Source organism: Homo sapiens, chromosome 22 (genome assembly GCF_000001405.40).
Source record: "Homo sapiens chromosome 22, GRCh38.p14 Primary Assembly".
Lineage (NCBI taxonomy): Eukaryota > Metazoa > Chordata > Mammalia > Primates > Hominidae > Homo > Homo sapiens.
Window position 1 is genome coordinate 43,724,623 of NC_000022.11, and position 18,642 is coordinate 43,743,264.

An 18,642-nucleotide genomic window follows, 5' to 3' on the forward strand; every position below is an offset into this window, starting at 1 on the left:
GCCTCCCAAAGTGCTAGGATTACAGGCATGAGCCACCGTGCCCTGCCTACCATCCATATTTCTATCAACATTCTGGTCACAACCACTCAAGTAATCTCCAAAAAGTTCTAGACTTTCTCTTGTCTTCACTTCTTCTAAGCCCTCACCAGAATCACCCATAATGCTTTGCTCATGGTAATCTAGGCTTTTTCTAGCCTGCTCCTCCAAATACTTCCAGCCTTTGCCAATTACCTAGTTCCAAAGTTGCTTCCACATTTCCAGTTATCTGTATGGCAACAACCCCACTTCTCTGTATCAAGTTTCTATCTTAGTCCTTTTTATGTTGCTGTAACTACATACGTGAGACTAAGTAATTTACAAAGAAAACAAATATATTTCTTATAGTTCTGGAAGCTAGAAAGTCCAAGGTCAAGGGACTGCAGCTGGCTGGCTTCTGAGGCCCTCATGCTCTGTTGTAACATGGAAGAAAGCATCACAGGGCAAGAGAGAGGCATGTTGAGAGCCAAACTGGCTTTTTTTTTTTTTTTTTTTTTTTTAGACGGAGTTTCATTCTTGTTGCCCAGGCTGGAGTGCAATGGCACAATCTTGGCTCATTGTAACCCCCCGCCTACCGGGTTCAAGCAATTCTCCTGCCTCAGCCTCCCGAATAGCTGGGATTACAGGCATGCGCCACCACGCCCAGCTAATTTTGTATTTTTAGTAGAGATGGGGTTTCTCCATGTTAGTCAGGCTGGTCTTGAACTCCCGACTTCAGGTGATCCACCCGCCTCGGCCTCCCAAAGTGCTGGGATTACAGGCGTGACCCACTGCACCCGGCCCAAACTAGCTTTTATAACAGACTCACTGTTATGATAATCCATTAATCCCCTTCACAGGGGCAGAGCCCTCATGACTCAGTCACCTCTTAAAGGCCACATCTCTTAAAACTGTTACATTGGGGATTAAGTTTCAACATGAGTTTTGGAGGGGGCTAACATTGAAACCATAACACCAACCCAGAAAGAATATGCTGACACCATGAGTTTTACACTTTAGGGCTAAAGTTTTGAACTGGTAGGATGGCAGCGGGGAAGATGATGGGCTGGTGTCAGCAATTCAGCCTTTCCTACTACATACCAATAAATAGGCCTCTGTCCTGACAGCCTTAGTGTAGAGATTTAATATTATATGCCCCATAACCCCAAACTACTATATCTTTATTTTAGAACATCCACAAAATGGTTTTGCCTCCTAACTGGAGGATTTGAATTTCAATGATAAAAGTTATAGGATAAGTATTCAATAGGAAAAATGATGGAACTAAGATTGTATTTTACGATGAATGCAGGATAGAAGACAGACTGGGATAGGCCAATAGGCTTTAGACTGTGGTACCAGTTAGGAGGCAGCAATGAGAATGTAAGCTAATGCTGCAGAAACAGGAATATACAGAATGACTGGATATATAGCTTACATTGGATCAAATCAAAGACGCCTTTCATTTAGGCATTGGGGATACATAAAATAATGCATTATTAAAAATCTGCTGCCAATTATTGATAAAATGCAAAAACAAAAAAAGGGATGTCCATAGCAAAACTGAAATTGTATCCTAGAACTTACCTTCTTATAATACCTAAAGAAATAAGCAGAAGAAAAAATGTAAAAATTCACCAAAAAAAAAAAAAAAAAAAAAAAAGACAGCATAAATTGAAGCAAAAAGAAACTGACTATGAGTAGACAGAAAGTTTTGCTTCCAATTTTGGTGGATTAGCTCATACAACCCTCCCAGCAGATAACATTTAAAACTCTGGGCAAAATATAAACAGAAAACTATCTGGAGGCCCTGGGGAGCAACTGAAAGCAGATACAAACTGAAGCTGGCACTTGGAAAAATGAAATCTTACTCAGTGAATTTCTTGTGATTTGGCTTTTTGCCTGAGGGCAGGCCCCAGCTGGAATCATGCTAAGTGGCTAGAATTTGGATATAAATTCAGGCTCTTACCAGCTTTAGGAATTGGAAAACAGAGTTCAGGCCTCCCACAGTGGCCAGAAGGCAAGGAAGGAAAACCCAAAAGGAAGAGAGGCATAAAGGGGGATCTCCAACATCTGTGAATAAACTTTGCCCAAATCTCTGGCCAACTCCTGAACTATAGATGTGCAGAGAAGACACCAAGCTGCCCCTCTAGGGAGAAAATAATGAAACAAAGATGTCCCACCGCTGGGAGGACAAAGTTTAGAGTCTGAATACAGCCAAGTAAACTGGCTGCTAAAACAAACAAAATAACAATTCTTCAGAACATAACAGAATGCATAGTTTCTATAATGCAAAATTATAGACATTTACTATATCCAGAATAAATTGCAAAATTATGAGACAGAAAAAACCTCAGGAAACTGTGATTCACATTCAAGAAGAAAGGTAATCAATAAAGACCAAACCCTTACTTCTTATGGTATAATGTTGAAAAAAAAGTTTTAAAACCCAAACCCTGAGATGACCTAGTTGTTGGAATTAACAGATAAAAAAGTTTAAAGCAGCCAAGTGCAGTGGCTCACGCCTGTAATCCCAGAATTGGGGAGGCTGAGTGAGGCAAGAGGATCACTTGATGCTAGGAGTTTGAGACTAGGCTGGGCATGACAGTGAGATGCCATCTCCACAAAAAATAATTTTAAAAATTAGCCAGGCATAGTGGCATGCCTGTGGTCCTAGCTGGTCATGAGGCTGCTGTGGGAAGGTTACTTGAGCCCAGGGGTTTGAGGCTGCAGTGAGCTATGATTGCACCACTGCATTCCTGCCTGGGCAACACAGCAAGACCCTGTCTCAAAAAGAAAAAAAAATTTTTAAGCATTTAAAAATTCTTAAAATTGTAAAATAACAGTGTTTGAGAATGTAAAAGAAAATATATTTCTGTTGAGTGAACAGACAGGAAATCTCAGTGGAACAACAGGAGCGTAGCAATGTATTATGTGTTTATGGTGTATGTAAAAGTACAATGCAGGGCAGCAATATAACAAAGGATAGGAGAGAAGAACTGGAAAAACACTGTAGTAAGGTCCATACACTGCACATGAATTACTATAATATTACTTAGAGGTAGGTTCTGATTAATCAAAGATGTATATTAGAAACCTTATTTATTAGTCTGCTTTGCATTGCTATCAAGGAATACCTGAGACTAGATAATTTATAAAGAAAAGAGGCTCATTTGGCTTATGGTTCTGCAGGCTGTACAAGCATGGCTCGTACATCCTTGAAGCTCGAGCATCTGCTCGGCTTCAAGAAGTTTTTTTTTTTTCTTTTTAAATTATACTTTAAGTTCTAGGATACATGTGCAGAACATGCAGGTCTGTTATATAGGTATACATGTGCCATGGTGGTTTGCTGCACCCATCAACCCATCATCTAGGTTTTAAGCCCCACATGCATTAGGTATTTCTTCTAATGTTATCCCTCCCCTTTGCCCCCACCCCATGACAGGCCCCAGTGTGTGATGTTCCCCTCCCTATGTCCATGTGTTCTCATTGTTCAACTCTCACAATGAGTGAGAACATGCGGTGTTTGGTTTTCTGTTCCTGTGTTAGTTTGCTGAGAATAACGGTTTCCAACTTCATCCATGTACCAGCAAATGACATGAATTCATTCTTTTTTATGGCTGCATAGTACTCCTGGTGTATATCTGCCACATTTTCTTTATCCAGTCTATCATTTATGGGCATTTGGGTTAGTTCCAAGTCTTTGCTCTTACAAATAGTGCTGCAATAAACATACATGTGCATGTGTCTTTATAGTAGAATGATTTATAATCTTTTGGGTATATACCCATTAATGGGATTGCTGGGTCAAATGGTATTTCTGGTTTTAGATCCTTGAGAAATTGCCACACTGTCTTCCACAATAGTTGAACTAACTTACACTCCCACCAACAGGGTAGAAGTGTTCCTATTTCTCCTCATCCTCTCCAGCATCTGTTGTTTCCTGACTTTTTAATGATCACCATTCTAACTGGCATGAGATGGTATCTCAGTGTGGTTTTGATTTGCATTTCTCTAATGACCAGAGATGTTGAGCTTTTTTTCATATGTTTGTTGGCTGCATAAATGTCTTCTTTTGAGAAGTGTCTGTTCATATCCTTCACCCACTTTTTGATGGGGTTGTTTTCTTCTTGTAAATTTGTTTAAGTTCCTTATAGATTCTGGATATTAGACCTCTGTCAGATGGATAGATTGCAAAATTGTCCTCCCATTCTGTAGGTTGCCTGTTTACTCTGATCATAGTTTGTTTTGCTGCACAGAAGCTCTTTAGTTTAATTAGATCGCATTTGTCAATTTTGGCTTTCACTGCAATTGCATTTGGTGTTTTAGTCATGAAGTCTTTGCCCACGCCTATGTCCTGAATGGTATTGCCTAGGTTTTCTTTCAAGAAGCTTTTTACTGGTGGTGGAAGGTGAACAGGGAGCAAGTGCATCAAGTGGCAAGAGAGGGAGCAAGGCAGAGGAGGAGGTGCCTGTCTCCTTTAAATACCAGCTCTTGTGTGAACTAACAGAGCAAGAACCCACTCATTACCATGGGGAGGGCACCAAGCTATTTATGAGGAATCTACCCCAATGACACAAATACCTCCCACTAGGTCCAACCTCCAACACTGGGGATCACATTTCTTTCTTTTTTTAAATAGAGACAGGGTCTTGCTAATGTTGCCTAGGCTGGTCCTTGGACTCCTGGCCTCAAGTGATCCTCCTGCCTCAGCCTCCCAAAGTGCTGGGATTACAGGCGTGAGCCACCATGCCTGGCCTGGGGATTACATTTCAACATGAGATTTGGAAGAGACAAATATCCAAACCATATCACCCTAGAACAAGCACCAAAAAATTTAATAATAAATAAAAAGTCAATAGAAGAAGTAAAATGGAATAGAAAATACTCAGTTTATCCAAATTTCATGAAAGTACGCAAACTCTCCAGGAGTGGATAGTGAAGGAAGGAGAGGAACATAATGAACACAAGGCAGAGATCCCACCTTGGAAGAAAACGTAACTTCAGATACAAAATTACTTTACAGAATCTCTCTATAAGAACGTGAACTCAGTAAAAGGAGAGTTGAATGGCAAGATGATAAACCAACAAAATAAGATGGAAAATAATATTGTAGACCTAAAGAAACAACATTAGAGATCTAGTAAGTAAATTAGAAACAGCAAAGAATAGGATAGACCTTGGTGAAAATCAAATTACAGGTATAGATAAAAGATCTAAGACAATCACTGTGAATATGTGCTGGTCATGGCGGCATACGCCTGTAATCCCAGCTCTTTGGGACTGTGTATAGGCAGGAGGATCACTTAAGCACAGGAGTTCGAGATTAGCCTGGCAACATAGTGAGACCCTGTCTCTAGAATTTTTTTTTTTAAAGTTAGCCAGGCATGGTGGTGCATGCCTGTGGTCCCAGTTACTTGGGAGGCTGAGGTTGGAGGATTGCTTGTGCCCAAAGTGCTGGAATTGCTCAGGAGGTTGAGGCTGCAGTGAGCTATGATCGTGTCACTGCACTCAAGCCTGGGCAACAGAGCAAGCGAGACCTTGTAGAAATAAGAAAGAAAAAAGAGAGGAGAGGAGAGGAAAAGGAGGGCAGGAGGGAAGGATGGAAGGAGGGAAGGAGGAAAGGGAGCGAGGGAGGGAGGGATGGAGGGAGGGATGGAGTTCTAGGATAAATGCCTCTTAGGCAATCAGCCAGAGAAAACAAATCATCCATAAGAGAAAAAATGAAGCAGGCCTCAGACTTTTCCACAATCAGACTAAGTACCAGAGGGCAATGGAGCAAAGTCTACGACATATTGAAGGGGGAGATGTGACCTGTGGACATTATATCCAAGATATAGAGGCAGGGTGTATTCCTCATTTTCTTGAGTTTCGTTTAAATTTCTATTCTTCTGATACACTCAGGTAAAAGTACATTCTTACAGAGAACAGCATCTATATAAACCCATTTTTACAAATGTATTTCTTTCTGCCTAACTCTTCTTTCCATATATGTGCCACGGAGAGATGCCAAGAACCCTGTGGACAGTGGTTATTTCTGGGTAGTGGGCTTGGTTCGATTGTTTACTTCCATCTCTTCCTTGTCGCACTGGCACCTGCCTCACGTGGTCGTGGGGAATATGAAGAGGCGACGCAGGAACACGCTTTGCACAGCTCCTGGCACAGGAGGCTTCGAAAACTAGAGCACTGGAGTCTGCTCTAAGCAAGCTTGGTTAGTGGAACCAGGCTAAAACCTGAGAATCTGCCATTTTTCAGCTTGCTAGTGAGAGGGATCTGAGAATCATAGAACATGGTCCCTGAATATTTGCTGCTGAAACCACACAGAGACAACCCATTTTGAGCGAGTCATTCAGGGGCAGTCACTCCTAAAGCACTAGACCACTGAGGGGAAATCTTATTTAAGGTGAGGAAAATGACCAAAGGCTGGGAAGGGAGAGGATCCAATTGCATGAGCCAGACATTCATCCTTAAAGAACTGGACCCTGACTCTCTCCAAAGCTACCCAGCAGGCCGACAACCCTGGGCGTCGTATGGAGGAGGCTGGAGTAAAGACTGTTCGCACGAGGAAACACGTTCTGTCTCAAGGTTATGTCTAATGACCTGGCTTTGCTTGTCTAACATAACTGCAAATTACTCAGCTATTTGCCCTTTTCTGTTAAGATTTTTCCCATCATTAAAGAAAAAAAGTTGAAAATACAGAAGCAACAGAAAGAACAAAATCACAGCCAGGGGCATCTCACTTAAGGACAACCTGAGTATTTTGGAATATTTTCCAATCCGCTACAGATATTCCACACACATCTTCTGTGTTATTATTAACTCTTCATGGATATCCTTGTTCCTGGCTGTAGATTTTACCACATGGCTATATTGTGACTCATTTAGCCTTTTCCTATTCTTAGGCATTGACGTTATTCTTATAAATAATGATACCATGGCTAGCTTTGTAGATAATGTATTTCCTATATTTGAAAGTATTTCCTCAGGAATGATCCAAAGAACAGGAATTACCATGCCAAAAGATATTGAAATCTTTAGCTATATACTTTAAAAATACTTACCTTGATTTCCCATACAATATCTAAGGTTCAAGTCGTTATTTATGCTGAGATTCTTCAAAAACACGTTGTAATCTACTGCAGTATCCTTGTGGATGTTGTAGTGTTTCGAAAACCTAAAATACAAATGTTCTTTAGTAATGAGAAATTATGAATCTAAAATGAAGCAAGTTTGTTACTAAGGTATCCTTTACACTCGGGCTGGCATTAATTTTAATGTCTGTTTCTAGCTACAGAGGGAATTAAAAAGTAAACCCCAGAAAATGTTACTGTCAGATTTTTTTTTTAATGCAGCTACTTCGAGATCACTTCTCCAACCTACAGATGGATGCATAGAAATTAGAGTGAGACAGAAATGTTGCTGGACCTGTTGAAGAATACCCCAACCTAGACAGCACCTAAGGAGTTTCTCCCGGCTCTGGCAGAAGGGGAGCTGGGGCTCTGTCTGCACGGCAGCTGCCTCTCCACTCCGACAGCAGAAGCAGGTCCCATTTGCCTTTAATAATTGTAGGGAAATGAGTCAGCCAGCACAAAATTTCCATAAGCAGGGAAATGGAGAGCTGGGTGGAGGAGCCAGCAGAGATGATCTCGACTGAGCATATCCTTTCTCTAGAGAGAAACTGAGGCCCACAGATGGCATATGGTTTCAAAACAGGGGATGGGTGGAGGAGGCAAAGTTTCTCTTGAAGCATTTCGTGATTTTTATATGTAACATACAAGGCTTTTTAAAACAGCGAACCACTGTCTATTCCTGAAACATACTGAAATACTTTTTTTTTTTTTTTTTTTTTAGGCAGAATCTCGCTCTGTTGCCCAGGCTAGAGTGTGGTGCTGCAATCTCAGCTCACTGCAACCTCCACCTCCCAGTTCAAGCGATTCTCGTGCCTCAGCCTACCGAGTAGCTGGGATTACAGCCATACACCACCACGCCTGGCTAATTTTTGTATTTTTAGTAGACACGGGGTTTTTCCATGTTGGCCAGGCTGGTCTCGAACTCCTGGCCTCAAGTGATCTGCTCACCTCAGCTTCCTAAAGTGCTGGAATTACAGGCATGAGCCACTGTGCCCAGCCGAGATAACCTTTTTTTAAAGTTAAGATAAATAAGATGTTTGAATTTTTAAAATAAATTTTCTATTATTCAAGCCTTCCACCTGATAAATGGTTTTCTAGATCATTTCTGTGTTATCACATTTCTAAAAATTGATGGTTTTTAAATGTTTGGTTATATTATCTCCATATGTGTTGATTTCTATAATTATCTAATCTCATACTGCTTTCTAAAAATTTGGTAATTATCACTTAAAGTATTTATTTTTCTGTTTTCCAAATTTAACAAAGAGTAATGCCATGTAGTTATTTCAATGCATACCTTTTTTTCCACTTTGATGACTCTTGCCTATTGTTTTAATAAGATAAATGATCTCTAGGTGTGATCGCTGCCAGATGTTAACAGTGAAACTCCCTAAAGAGCTTCATCTTTCATCTACGGTCTCTGTCTTGTGAAAATGAGGTGGTAAGTTTGAGAAACCAGAAGACCCAATTGAGGGGAGAAGGGTATGACTCCAATCAGCTCATAAACCTCTCCAGCGTCACCACCTGGAACTGGGTTTCATTCATCTGCTCAGGCAACAGGCTGAACTGTAGTGATTTGTTTGCTGGTTTTACAAGGCTGCTCATAAATGATTTCACCTATATCAAACACACTGGCCTCCAGGGCAGTGGAGAGTAGGCTGGAGGGAGATGGGAAACACAACACTCAATGGGTTTTGAGATGTCCTGATTAAGTATGGGGCTTGGTGGTAATTGTATCTCTGGCCTCTTGTTTTATGTAGGTTGGAGAGTAGTCTGCTGCCTAAATGGAACAGGTCATCAGAGGGTAAAGGGCATTCACGGAGTCTTTATGATGATGAGATGGTCACTGTGAAATCAGCCCTACTATGTGCAAGCGCATCACAGGCATGTTGTTTACATTTTGTTGAGTCTTCATCCCAGCCCTGAGAGGTGGGCTGCTCAGTCCCCCCTTTTTTTCTTTAAGATGGAGTCTCGCTCTGTTGCCAGGCTGGAGTGCAGTGGTGCGATCTCAGCTCACTGCAACCTCCGCCTCCCGGGTTCAAGCGATTCTCCTGCCTCAGCCTCCCAAGTAGCTGGGACTACAGGTGTGCACCACCATGCCTGGCTAATTTTTGTACTTTTAGTAGAGATGGGGTTTCACCATGTTGGCCAGGACGGTCTCAATCTCTTGACCTCATGATCCGCCTGCCTCAGCATCCCAAAGTGCTGGGATTACAAGCGTGATCCACCGCGCCCGGCCAGTCCCCATTTCTTTAAGAGAAAACTGAGTCTTGACAAGGCCCAGGAGCTACTCTGAGGCCCTAGAACCAGGGAGGAGAGAGCACAGACTTCACCTCCAGCAGCCTGACTTCAAAGCCTGGGCCATTTCTACCACACCAAGAGCCGAATGTTGATATTAAATAGAAAGCTGTTAGATAAAAGAGAGGATTCAAAAATGCATTGTTTCTTGCTCAAAAATAAAAAAGACAAAGTTAATACTGAAGCAGCTTCTCCAGGAAAGAGTATATTCTTGAGCTTCAATAAGAAAAGCATTAAAGCAATTGAAGAAATGGTCTACTTTTGATCTTCTGTGTTTCTGAGTCTAAAAGAAAGCAATTCTATTATGTTCATTTTCTCAAGCCTTATCATGAAAATAGCATTGTTTTTGAGGCTTAAAAAATCTCAAATAAAAATTTGTGGAGTTATTATTCAATACTTATGAGATGGGGAAACAGACAGTAACATTTTTTATAGATTTACTAGGTTGGAGACTGCAGTGCCAAACACAAGGTTTATTGTCAAATAAAACACTGTTTTGTTTTTTGATTGCCTGTTTTAGAAGAGTGCTGCCTCTGTTCTATAATTGCGTGCACAAAATTATTTAATTTGTTTTGTTTGGATCTTATTCTGGACACTTTCCCAGCCGGAAAAGATGTAAAAATTAAAACATCTATTATGTGTTTTATATTCTGAGGTGGGTTATAAAGAGAAAAAAAAAAGAAAAACATACTCAAAAGAGAAACAGATGCTATTTTTTCAAGTCTGCCTGCTTTTCAGGCCCTGCAGCATCAGTGACATGTCACATGCCCTCTAGACTTCCTTGCCTCAGGGGCAAATTCTTCCACTCTGCTTCTAGCAGCAGCCACATTGTCTTTATGAGATACAAGGAGCTACCGGGACCCATTTTCATAGCAACTTAGAACACCAGTGCAATGCGAAAAGCTTGGGCTCCGGGTGAAATGAGGCTTGGTGCTTTTGTTAATGGTCTGGAGCGTATTTAGAAAAGTGTTTGGGAAAAGGCACGAAGAGGGAATGGACCTCTCGGCTGGGTACTGTAGAAATTAAGCTAGACACGGGCCCATCTTCCAGTGGCTTTCACTCAAAACTCATGTAGTCACAGAAGCCAAACATTTGGCTTCTTCTAAATGATGTGGAGTTTATAGGAGGCTCAAAAAAATGCCCGTGCAGGCTTCTGTGTGCTGCCCTTGGAGTCAGGAGCAGGTGGTGGTGGCGTTCAAACACCATGAGGCAGCTAAATGTTCTGCTGTTCGTCACCCTCCTGCCGCACACCCCACCCTCCTGCCGCACACCCCACCCTCCTGCCGCACACCCCTCCACCTCAGCAACAACGGTCCTCAAAGGAAAATTAAGTCTCCATTATTGTATCAGGATGCAGAGCCAACGGGGAGCACAGCAACAACACGTGAATCCTGAAATTTGTCATTCTTCTCCTAACCCCAGGCTTTGAGTAAAAATCAACAGTGAACTAGAAATATGTGGGATGGGGGGGCGGGCACAGTGCCAAGTGGGGAAAGAGACAATTGGTGATGGATTACTCCAATAACCTGGATGTGTTCAGAGCTGCGGGCCAGAGGACGGACCCCAAGGGTGCTTAAGGAATGAGAACCATTAGCTCTCATTTTTGAGAATGCATGGGGAGCTTTAGGAACATGAGAGAATGTCCAGTGAGTGCCTCTTTGAGAAATAAGGTGTGTGTGTGTGGCAGGGGGAGGTGAGAGATGGATGGAGCCAATGAACCCAACAGGTCTCATTCTGAAATTGGTTAAAAGTTCTACTGAGCAATCTCTCACCGTGCCTTCATTTGCTTACTTTTCGTATTCCTCGTCTCTTAACTTCATACAGAAGGTCTCCAGAACCCTTCTTAGCTCCTGCGGTCGAACCAGTCCAGTCTTGTTAACATCAATGAGCTCAAAGGCTTTCATAACAGTCTTAATGTTTTTGAAAACCTATGTACAAAAAGTGATTTAGGAAAAGTCAAAAGATCTAGTGTTAGGAACCAAATGGTAATAAAAATGTGAAAGTTTTTTTTAATACTTTTTATAAAATAAAATGTTTTCAAAGACTCACAGTGGTAGGCATGGCAAAAATGACATGTCTACGGAAAAAGAACACTTTGCATTTATTGAATGTTTTCAAGGCAATTTTCTCTGTAAATGGTCTTAGTAATTTAAAAAAAATCTCTTTCTCATGTAAAGCAGTAAGTCTCATACACAATTCATTCCCTTCTAGGGCCATATGAAAAAATCTTTTTTGTTAATTGATACTTAAAAACTACAGTTCTGGCATGGCTGGACTTGTACAATTTTTATTTTTCACAGCCATATGCAAACTATTTTTAATAGGAGCTGGAAAATATGACTGTATATTTCAACCCCTCTAAATTTTTTAAAGATATCACAGGAAAGTTTTGTAGCGACTTCTCCAAATTCAGCAAATGATATTTATTGGGTGCACAGACACACATGACATTAGGATAGGCCCTGTGGATCTGCAGGGAGCACCCAGGATATTTATTGGGCTCACAGACGCACACGACATTAGGATAGGCCCTGTGGATCTGCAGGGAGCACCCAGGATATTTATTGGGCTCACAGACGCACACAATGTTAGGATAGACCCTGTGGATCCACAGGGAGCACCCAGTTGTGCTCTTGGCCTTAAACTACTCAAAGAAAAGAAACACAGAGCTGTGTGATGGAAGCCTTTCAACCCCTCTGAAGGAGGTACCATTTCCCCAGTGTTAGATACGGAAACTGACTGCTCCCTGCTCACACTCCACACCTTGTTATTACGAAGGACTGCTGACTCTGCACAATCCAGCCCCACGCTGCAGCCGCCCACCCCCCATCTTTCCAGTTCACTCCCTTGGGCGCCCAAAGCTCACAGCCTTGACCCACTGGGCCCTCCCCTGAGCTCCGGCCTCCCTCCACACTCCTCCATGCCTCTCAGCCTCACTTCCTTCCTAACCCTCCCATCAACACCTTCGCTGCTTGGCATATATGCTTGACTCCCTCCTCCCCTCTGCCCTCTCCTACTCTCTTGGTGAGACCCTAACCTGGGGTAAACCCAACTCACCGCCTCTTCCAAACCTGTCCAAATGGCCTGACGTGGCTGAAGAGAATGGGCACACCTCCCTGGCTCTCCTAACTTGAGACCATTAACTCCAGCAGGACGGGTGCTGCGTGGTAATCCCTCTTTACTGACATGGTCCACCCCATACATCATCACTGTCACACACACATGCACAGATACATGCACACACACCATCACTCACACACACACATATTCATACACACACCTGTGCATGTACTCATACGCACTCACACCATCACTCACACATATATTCACACACACACATGCACAGATACAGGCATACACACCATCACTCACACACACATATATTCATACACACACACCCCTGTGCATATATTCACACACACACCACTCACACCCATATATTCACAGATACATGCACACACACCATCACTCACACACACATGTATTCATACACACACACTCACCTGTGCATATACTCACACATACACCATCACTCACACACATATATTCACACACACACATGCAGATATTCACATGCACACACACCATCATTCACACACACATATATTCATACACACCTGTGCATGTACTCATACACACTCACACCATCACTCACACATATATTCACACACACACATGCACAGATACAGGCATACACACCATCACTCACACACATATTCATACACACACACACCTGTGCATATACTCACACACACTCACACCATTACTCACACACATATATTCTCACACATACATACATGCACATATACTCGCATACACTCACACCATCACTCACATATACATATCACACACATGCATATACTCACACACACCTGCATATACTTGCATACCCACACCATCACTCACACACATATATTCGCACATATATTCACACACACATGCACATACACTCACACACACACACCTGCATATACTCACACATTCACACCATCACTCAAATATATTCACACACACATACATGCAGATACATGCACACACACCATCACACACATATATTCATACACACACCTGTGCATATACTCACACTCACACCATCACTCACACACATATATGCACACACACCTGCATATACTCAAACTCACACACGTGCATATACTCACACATTCACACCATCACACACACATATATTCACTCACACACATGCACATATACACACACACCTGCATATACTCACACTCACACCGTCACTCACACATATATATTCACACACACCTGCATATACTCATTCACACCATCAATCACATACACATATATTCACACACACATGCATGTACTCACACATCTCTCACACACATACATTCACATACATATGCACATATACTCACATACACCATCACTCACACACACATATATTCACACACACACATGCACATATACTCACACACACCATATCTCACACATATATTCACACACACCTGTGCATATACTCACATGCACACACACTTGTACATATAATCACACACACACCATCACTCACACACATATACACCCATTCTCTTGCATATATATTCACACACACTTGCATATACTGTCATACACACCATCACACACACTTGCACATACCCCATCCACACAGCCATTCCCACCTTCTCCACTTTCCTAACCTCCAATTTCTCCTTCCACCTCCTGCTTTACTGACAACCTTACCTCTTATTTAACAGAGAAAACAGAAACAACTAAAAGACAGCATTCCCATTCCCCACACCCACTTGCAGCTGGCCTGGCTCCATCCCCACATGAGACAGGTGCCTCCTGTCCTGTTGTAAGGGATCAAGGGATGAACCTCCGTGATCCTACCTATGGCCAGGTGGGGCCACGTGATGCACATGACCCTGACCCTGTCCCCAGGCAAGGAAGTGCTCCTGCCCGTCCTACTCCCTCTCAGGTCACCCCATGAAGATGAGCTGTCTCAGAAATAGAACCTCCCTCCTTGCCTCACCTCTTCCTCCAGTCACCCATTCCCTTGCACTGAAATCCCCTCAAGATTATCTCCAATGTGTCCCCCTCTCTTAAAACGTCTCCAATCACTTTTGTCCACACTACTGCACAAACACTGTTCTTGTCAGCATGACCAAAGACTTCCACCTTGTCAAACCCAAGGGCCACTTCTCAGTCCTCATCTTGCTGTCCCAGCAGCCGCCTTTGACACAGCTGCTTGGCCCTTCTTCCTTGAGGCACTTTTGCTACTTAGCTTCCAGAGCCAATGCTCTCTCTCCTTCTTCTCCAGCCTCCTTGGAGTCTCCTTCTCAGTCTCCCTTGCTAGTTCCTCCTCCTCCTCCCATCTCTAAGCCTGGAGCATTTTAGGACTCAGTCCTCAGCCCTCTCTGCTTCTCTGACCACACTAACTTCTTGGTGGTTCACTCCTGTGGCTTCAATGTCCCACTGATGACTCCCACATGTCTGTCTTGAGCCCTGGACTCTTCTCAGAGCCCAGCTTAGAATATCCAGCTGCCCATTTGATGTCCCCCTTGAGACTCTAACAGACATCTCAGGTTTACCAAACCCAAGCTGCTCTACCCACAGTCTCCCATCCCAATAAATGGTAAATCCATTCTACTGGATTCCTTTTTGTTCACATCCCATATGCAGTATATCAGGAGAGCCCATCAGCCCCTCCCTCCAGACCATTTCCACAATGCAATCATGTCTTACCACCCCCACCCCGCTTCTCCCCGCACTCCGGGTTAGTGCAAGCCTCCCGCTTGGTCCTCCAGCCTCCACACTTGACTCCACGAAGCAGCCAAGGAGTTTATGTTTAAATGTGAGTCTGAGCATGCCCTCCGTGGCCAAAACCCCCCAGGGCTCCCATTCCACTCGCTGTGACCCACCAGGCCACACCCGACTGGCTCCTGGCCACCCCCTGGCCGTGTCTCCCTCCACCTGCCCCCCACCTGCTGCTTTCTGGCCACACCAGACCCCACTGCTCCCCATGACTGCTCAGCCCCTCCCGCCTCAAGGCGCTGGCGCTTGCTGCTCCTTCTGCCTGGAACATTCTTCCCCCGACACTCACTGGCTCACTCCCTGGCTTCATTCAGGTCTTGGCCCAGAAACGCCCTCCCTAGTCACCATGCAAATTAGGACTCCTCACCCCCAATCCTCTTATCTTCTCTCCAAACTCCTCTTCAAATGGCATCACCTCCTTTTGTCTTTATGGTCCGTCTCCCCCTCTGAGAGCAAGGTTTGTTCATGGCCCCAGCTCTAGGACAGCATCTGGCACAGTGTGGACACTCAGTGAGTATCTGTTGGAATGAATGAATCTGTCTCCTCCTCACCTGCCTGGAAAAGAGCCACGATCTGCAGAAGCCTCGTGTTATGTCTGCAAATACCTCCTCAGTCGACTGGCCCCTGCATTCAGGACCAATCCTGAGTGCAGTCATGATGACATTCAGTGTCAATGTCATGATGATTACAATAACATGATCTTCGCACAAACACGAACTGAACGGATGTCTGTTATGTGCAGAGCCCCATGCTTAACTCCATACCAGCCTCCTGACTAGAGAACAGCTGACAACCAAAGAACATTGGCTAACATGGCCTCAGTATCCAAAACTGGGAATACTGAGTGCAGCCGAGAGGGAAAGGCACCGGCAGAAGCAAAGCCGGCTCCAGTGCCTCTGTCCTCCACTCCACCGCTCTGCCTGAAAGAGGGAGCCCCAGCCACTGACAGCGCCTGCTCTCATGGCCGGATAAAAATCTCTGCACTTTGTCTGCTGCCAAAGCCAGATTTACCTCCTTTGGTAAAATGGAGGACATGAGCACGATGCGCTTTTTTAAAACCCCAGAGCAACCCATATGGATCTCTAGCGTGAGCACCGGGAAGCAGCAACCTGGCAGCGAGCTCACACCCACCAGAGCGACGTCTCCAAGGCTCTTATCATTTGTCAGACTGAAGTTTGGCAAGGGCTGAAGAATTGAGCTGCAGATGGCGAGGCTTATCAAAGGCAACAAAGTTAGGGCCGTGGTGTCCAAGACTTGTCCCACACAGGGGAGGAGAGATGAAAAAGTAAGAAGAAGCAATAAAATGGCTAAGCTAAGGCTCCCGACAATAGTGACTGTGCACACCCCACCCCCTCCTCTCCCAGCCACGGTCTCCGGGCTCTGGGCTTCAGCCATGCTGACCGACTTTGAATTCACAAGTGTACTGGGGCTCTTCTCATCCGCTATGAGCTCCTATTTATAGATGGTCTGACCCCTGCTTTATCTGCCCCTTTTCACTCTGCCTCAGTTATGGGGCCTCTTCCTTCTTCCTTACATGCACCAAGCTTGCTCATGCCTCCCTCCCTGCCTTCGTTCAGGTCTCCATCCCACGCTGCCGCTGAGGCCTTCCTCACTCGCTTACTTGAAAGCGCGCCTTCATACTCTGCTGACCACTTGCTTCATTTTTCTTCTTAGCATTCATCAACACCTGGACCATTTCCTATTTATTTCTGTAGCTGTTTATTGTCTTTCTTCCTCCTTTGAAATGTAAATTCCACAAAGCAGGAAGTTGGTTTTGTTTGCTGCCCTATCTTCAGGGCTCAGAATAGTGCCCAGACGCAGCGGATGCCCATAAGTATACATGCAGAGTGGATTCGCAGCCGTGTCTGCGGCCCTTCCCTGTCCTGCCACTGTCCACTCTGGGGCAGGATTCGGTATCTTCTCTTCTGGCTTTCCTAATTATCCCTCCATCCAGCCACGGGCAGAACCCTGACTTCCACCCTGCCATCTTGGTTTATTTCTGCCTGCACTTGGTAACTAGCTCCTTCCCCTGGGGGCAGGGGAGACCTGGTCCCTGCTCACCTGTCATTCCATTCCACCCTTCAAATCCCCAGCGCCTGGCGGGAGGAGTACTCAGAGAGCCAAATCCACCAAGAGAGGGAAAAACCGCTGAACCGGTAACAAAAGGGGAAAGGTCCCTGCTTCTTGCAGCCTCCTCCAAACCAGCATGCTTCTCAGAAAAGAACATCTTGCCCCTAGTATCACCTGAGTCATTACCCATGGAGACCTAACTCCCTTCATTCCAGGTGTGGCAAACTACTGCCCACCACCTGATTTCGTACACCTGCAAGCTAAGAATGGTTTTTAACATTTTTAAATGGTTGAAAAAGAAATCAAAAGAAGGCTAATATTTCATGACATGCGAAAGTTATGTGAATTTCAAATTTCAGTATCCATAAATAAATTGTATTGGCACACAGCCACGCCCACTCATTTACATATCGTCTAGGGACTGCTTTCCCTTCCAAGGGCTGAGTGGAATAGTTGGGAAGATATTTACTCCTGAGCCCTTTATGGAAAAAGTTCACTGACCCATACTCCACTCCTCCACCCTATACACCATCCTCGCTTACTTACATCTGAGTGGGTGAGGAAGTTTCAGGAGAGTTCTTTGTGCACAAACACGAGGAAAAGCACTGAAGATTTTAAAAGGAAACCAAAGCAACAGCTAACTATGCCTTAAGTTAAAGGCTCAGAGCCAGGAAATGGGCCTGCATGGTCCCAGAGAGTCTGGTCCCAACCCTCTTGCCCGTCTCCTGGCCAGAGACCTGGTCCCAGCCCCACTCTGCGCAGCCCCCGCTGAGCCTGGCGCTGATTCCAGCCTGACTCCCTGAGCCCTGCTCAGGGCCATATGCTAGCCCTGTGCGTGAGCAGGTGCTGCCCTCCCGGCACCCCCACTGCACCCCGGCCACCACCGCAGCACTGCAGAGCCTGGGAGCAGGATAGTCTCAGACCCTCTAGGTGTCCTTAGAGCCAGGTAGCTGCTTGGACCTCGGCATGATGGCTGAAGCAAGTTATCTAGGGGAGGACCATGAGACCAAACCCACTGGGCTCTTCTGCCTGGAGAGCAAGGCTGGGGAAGGCAAGACAGAAAACTCTGAAGTTCCAAAGTGCGGCTGCATAAGCCAAGCCCGTTACCTAACATTTAAAGCAAGGAAATGAAGCTCCATGTCACATAGGAGTGAAGTAAAAGAAGGAAGTGATCACTAAAAATAAAAATAACAAATTTTTGTAAAAAGTAATAGCAAGACAAAATATTCAATTAAAAAGATTTAGGTGAACTGATGAAGGGCAGAATTATAAATGTTACTAGAAGAAGCAGAGACTGTCTGACCTTTAAGATGAAAGCCGGAGAGTGGGGAAAATGAACCCTCTCCCA

General features: G+C 44.3%; 1 protein-coding gene across 21 annotated transcripts in view; it reads right to left on the bottom strand.

The window, feature by feature from the left end:
- EFCAB6 (EF-hand calcium binding domain 6) overlaps nt 1–18,642 on the bottom strand; it is a 283,528-nt gene that overhangs the window by 195,845 nt on the left and 69,041 nt on the right. For 19 of the 21 annotated variants that reach the window (XR_007067980.1, XM_047441462.1, XM_011530319.4 and 16 more), the window contains 2 exons: nt 11,235–11,371; nt 7,077–7,189 (listed from right to left, as the gene is read on the bottom strand). Coding sequence is in view for 20 of the 21 variants with exons in the window: in XM_047441462.1 (XP_047297418.1) it covers nt 7,077–7,189; nt 11,235–11,371 (250 nt within the window). In the remaining variant the exon portion in view is untranslated. Of the gene's footprint in view, nt 1–7,076; nt 7,190–11,234; nt 11,372–15,591; nt 15,714–18,642 lie in introns of all 21 variants that reach the window. The other 2 variants (XM_011530323.3, XM_011530325.3) reach the window with 2 other exon arrangements.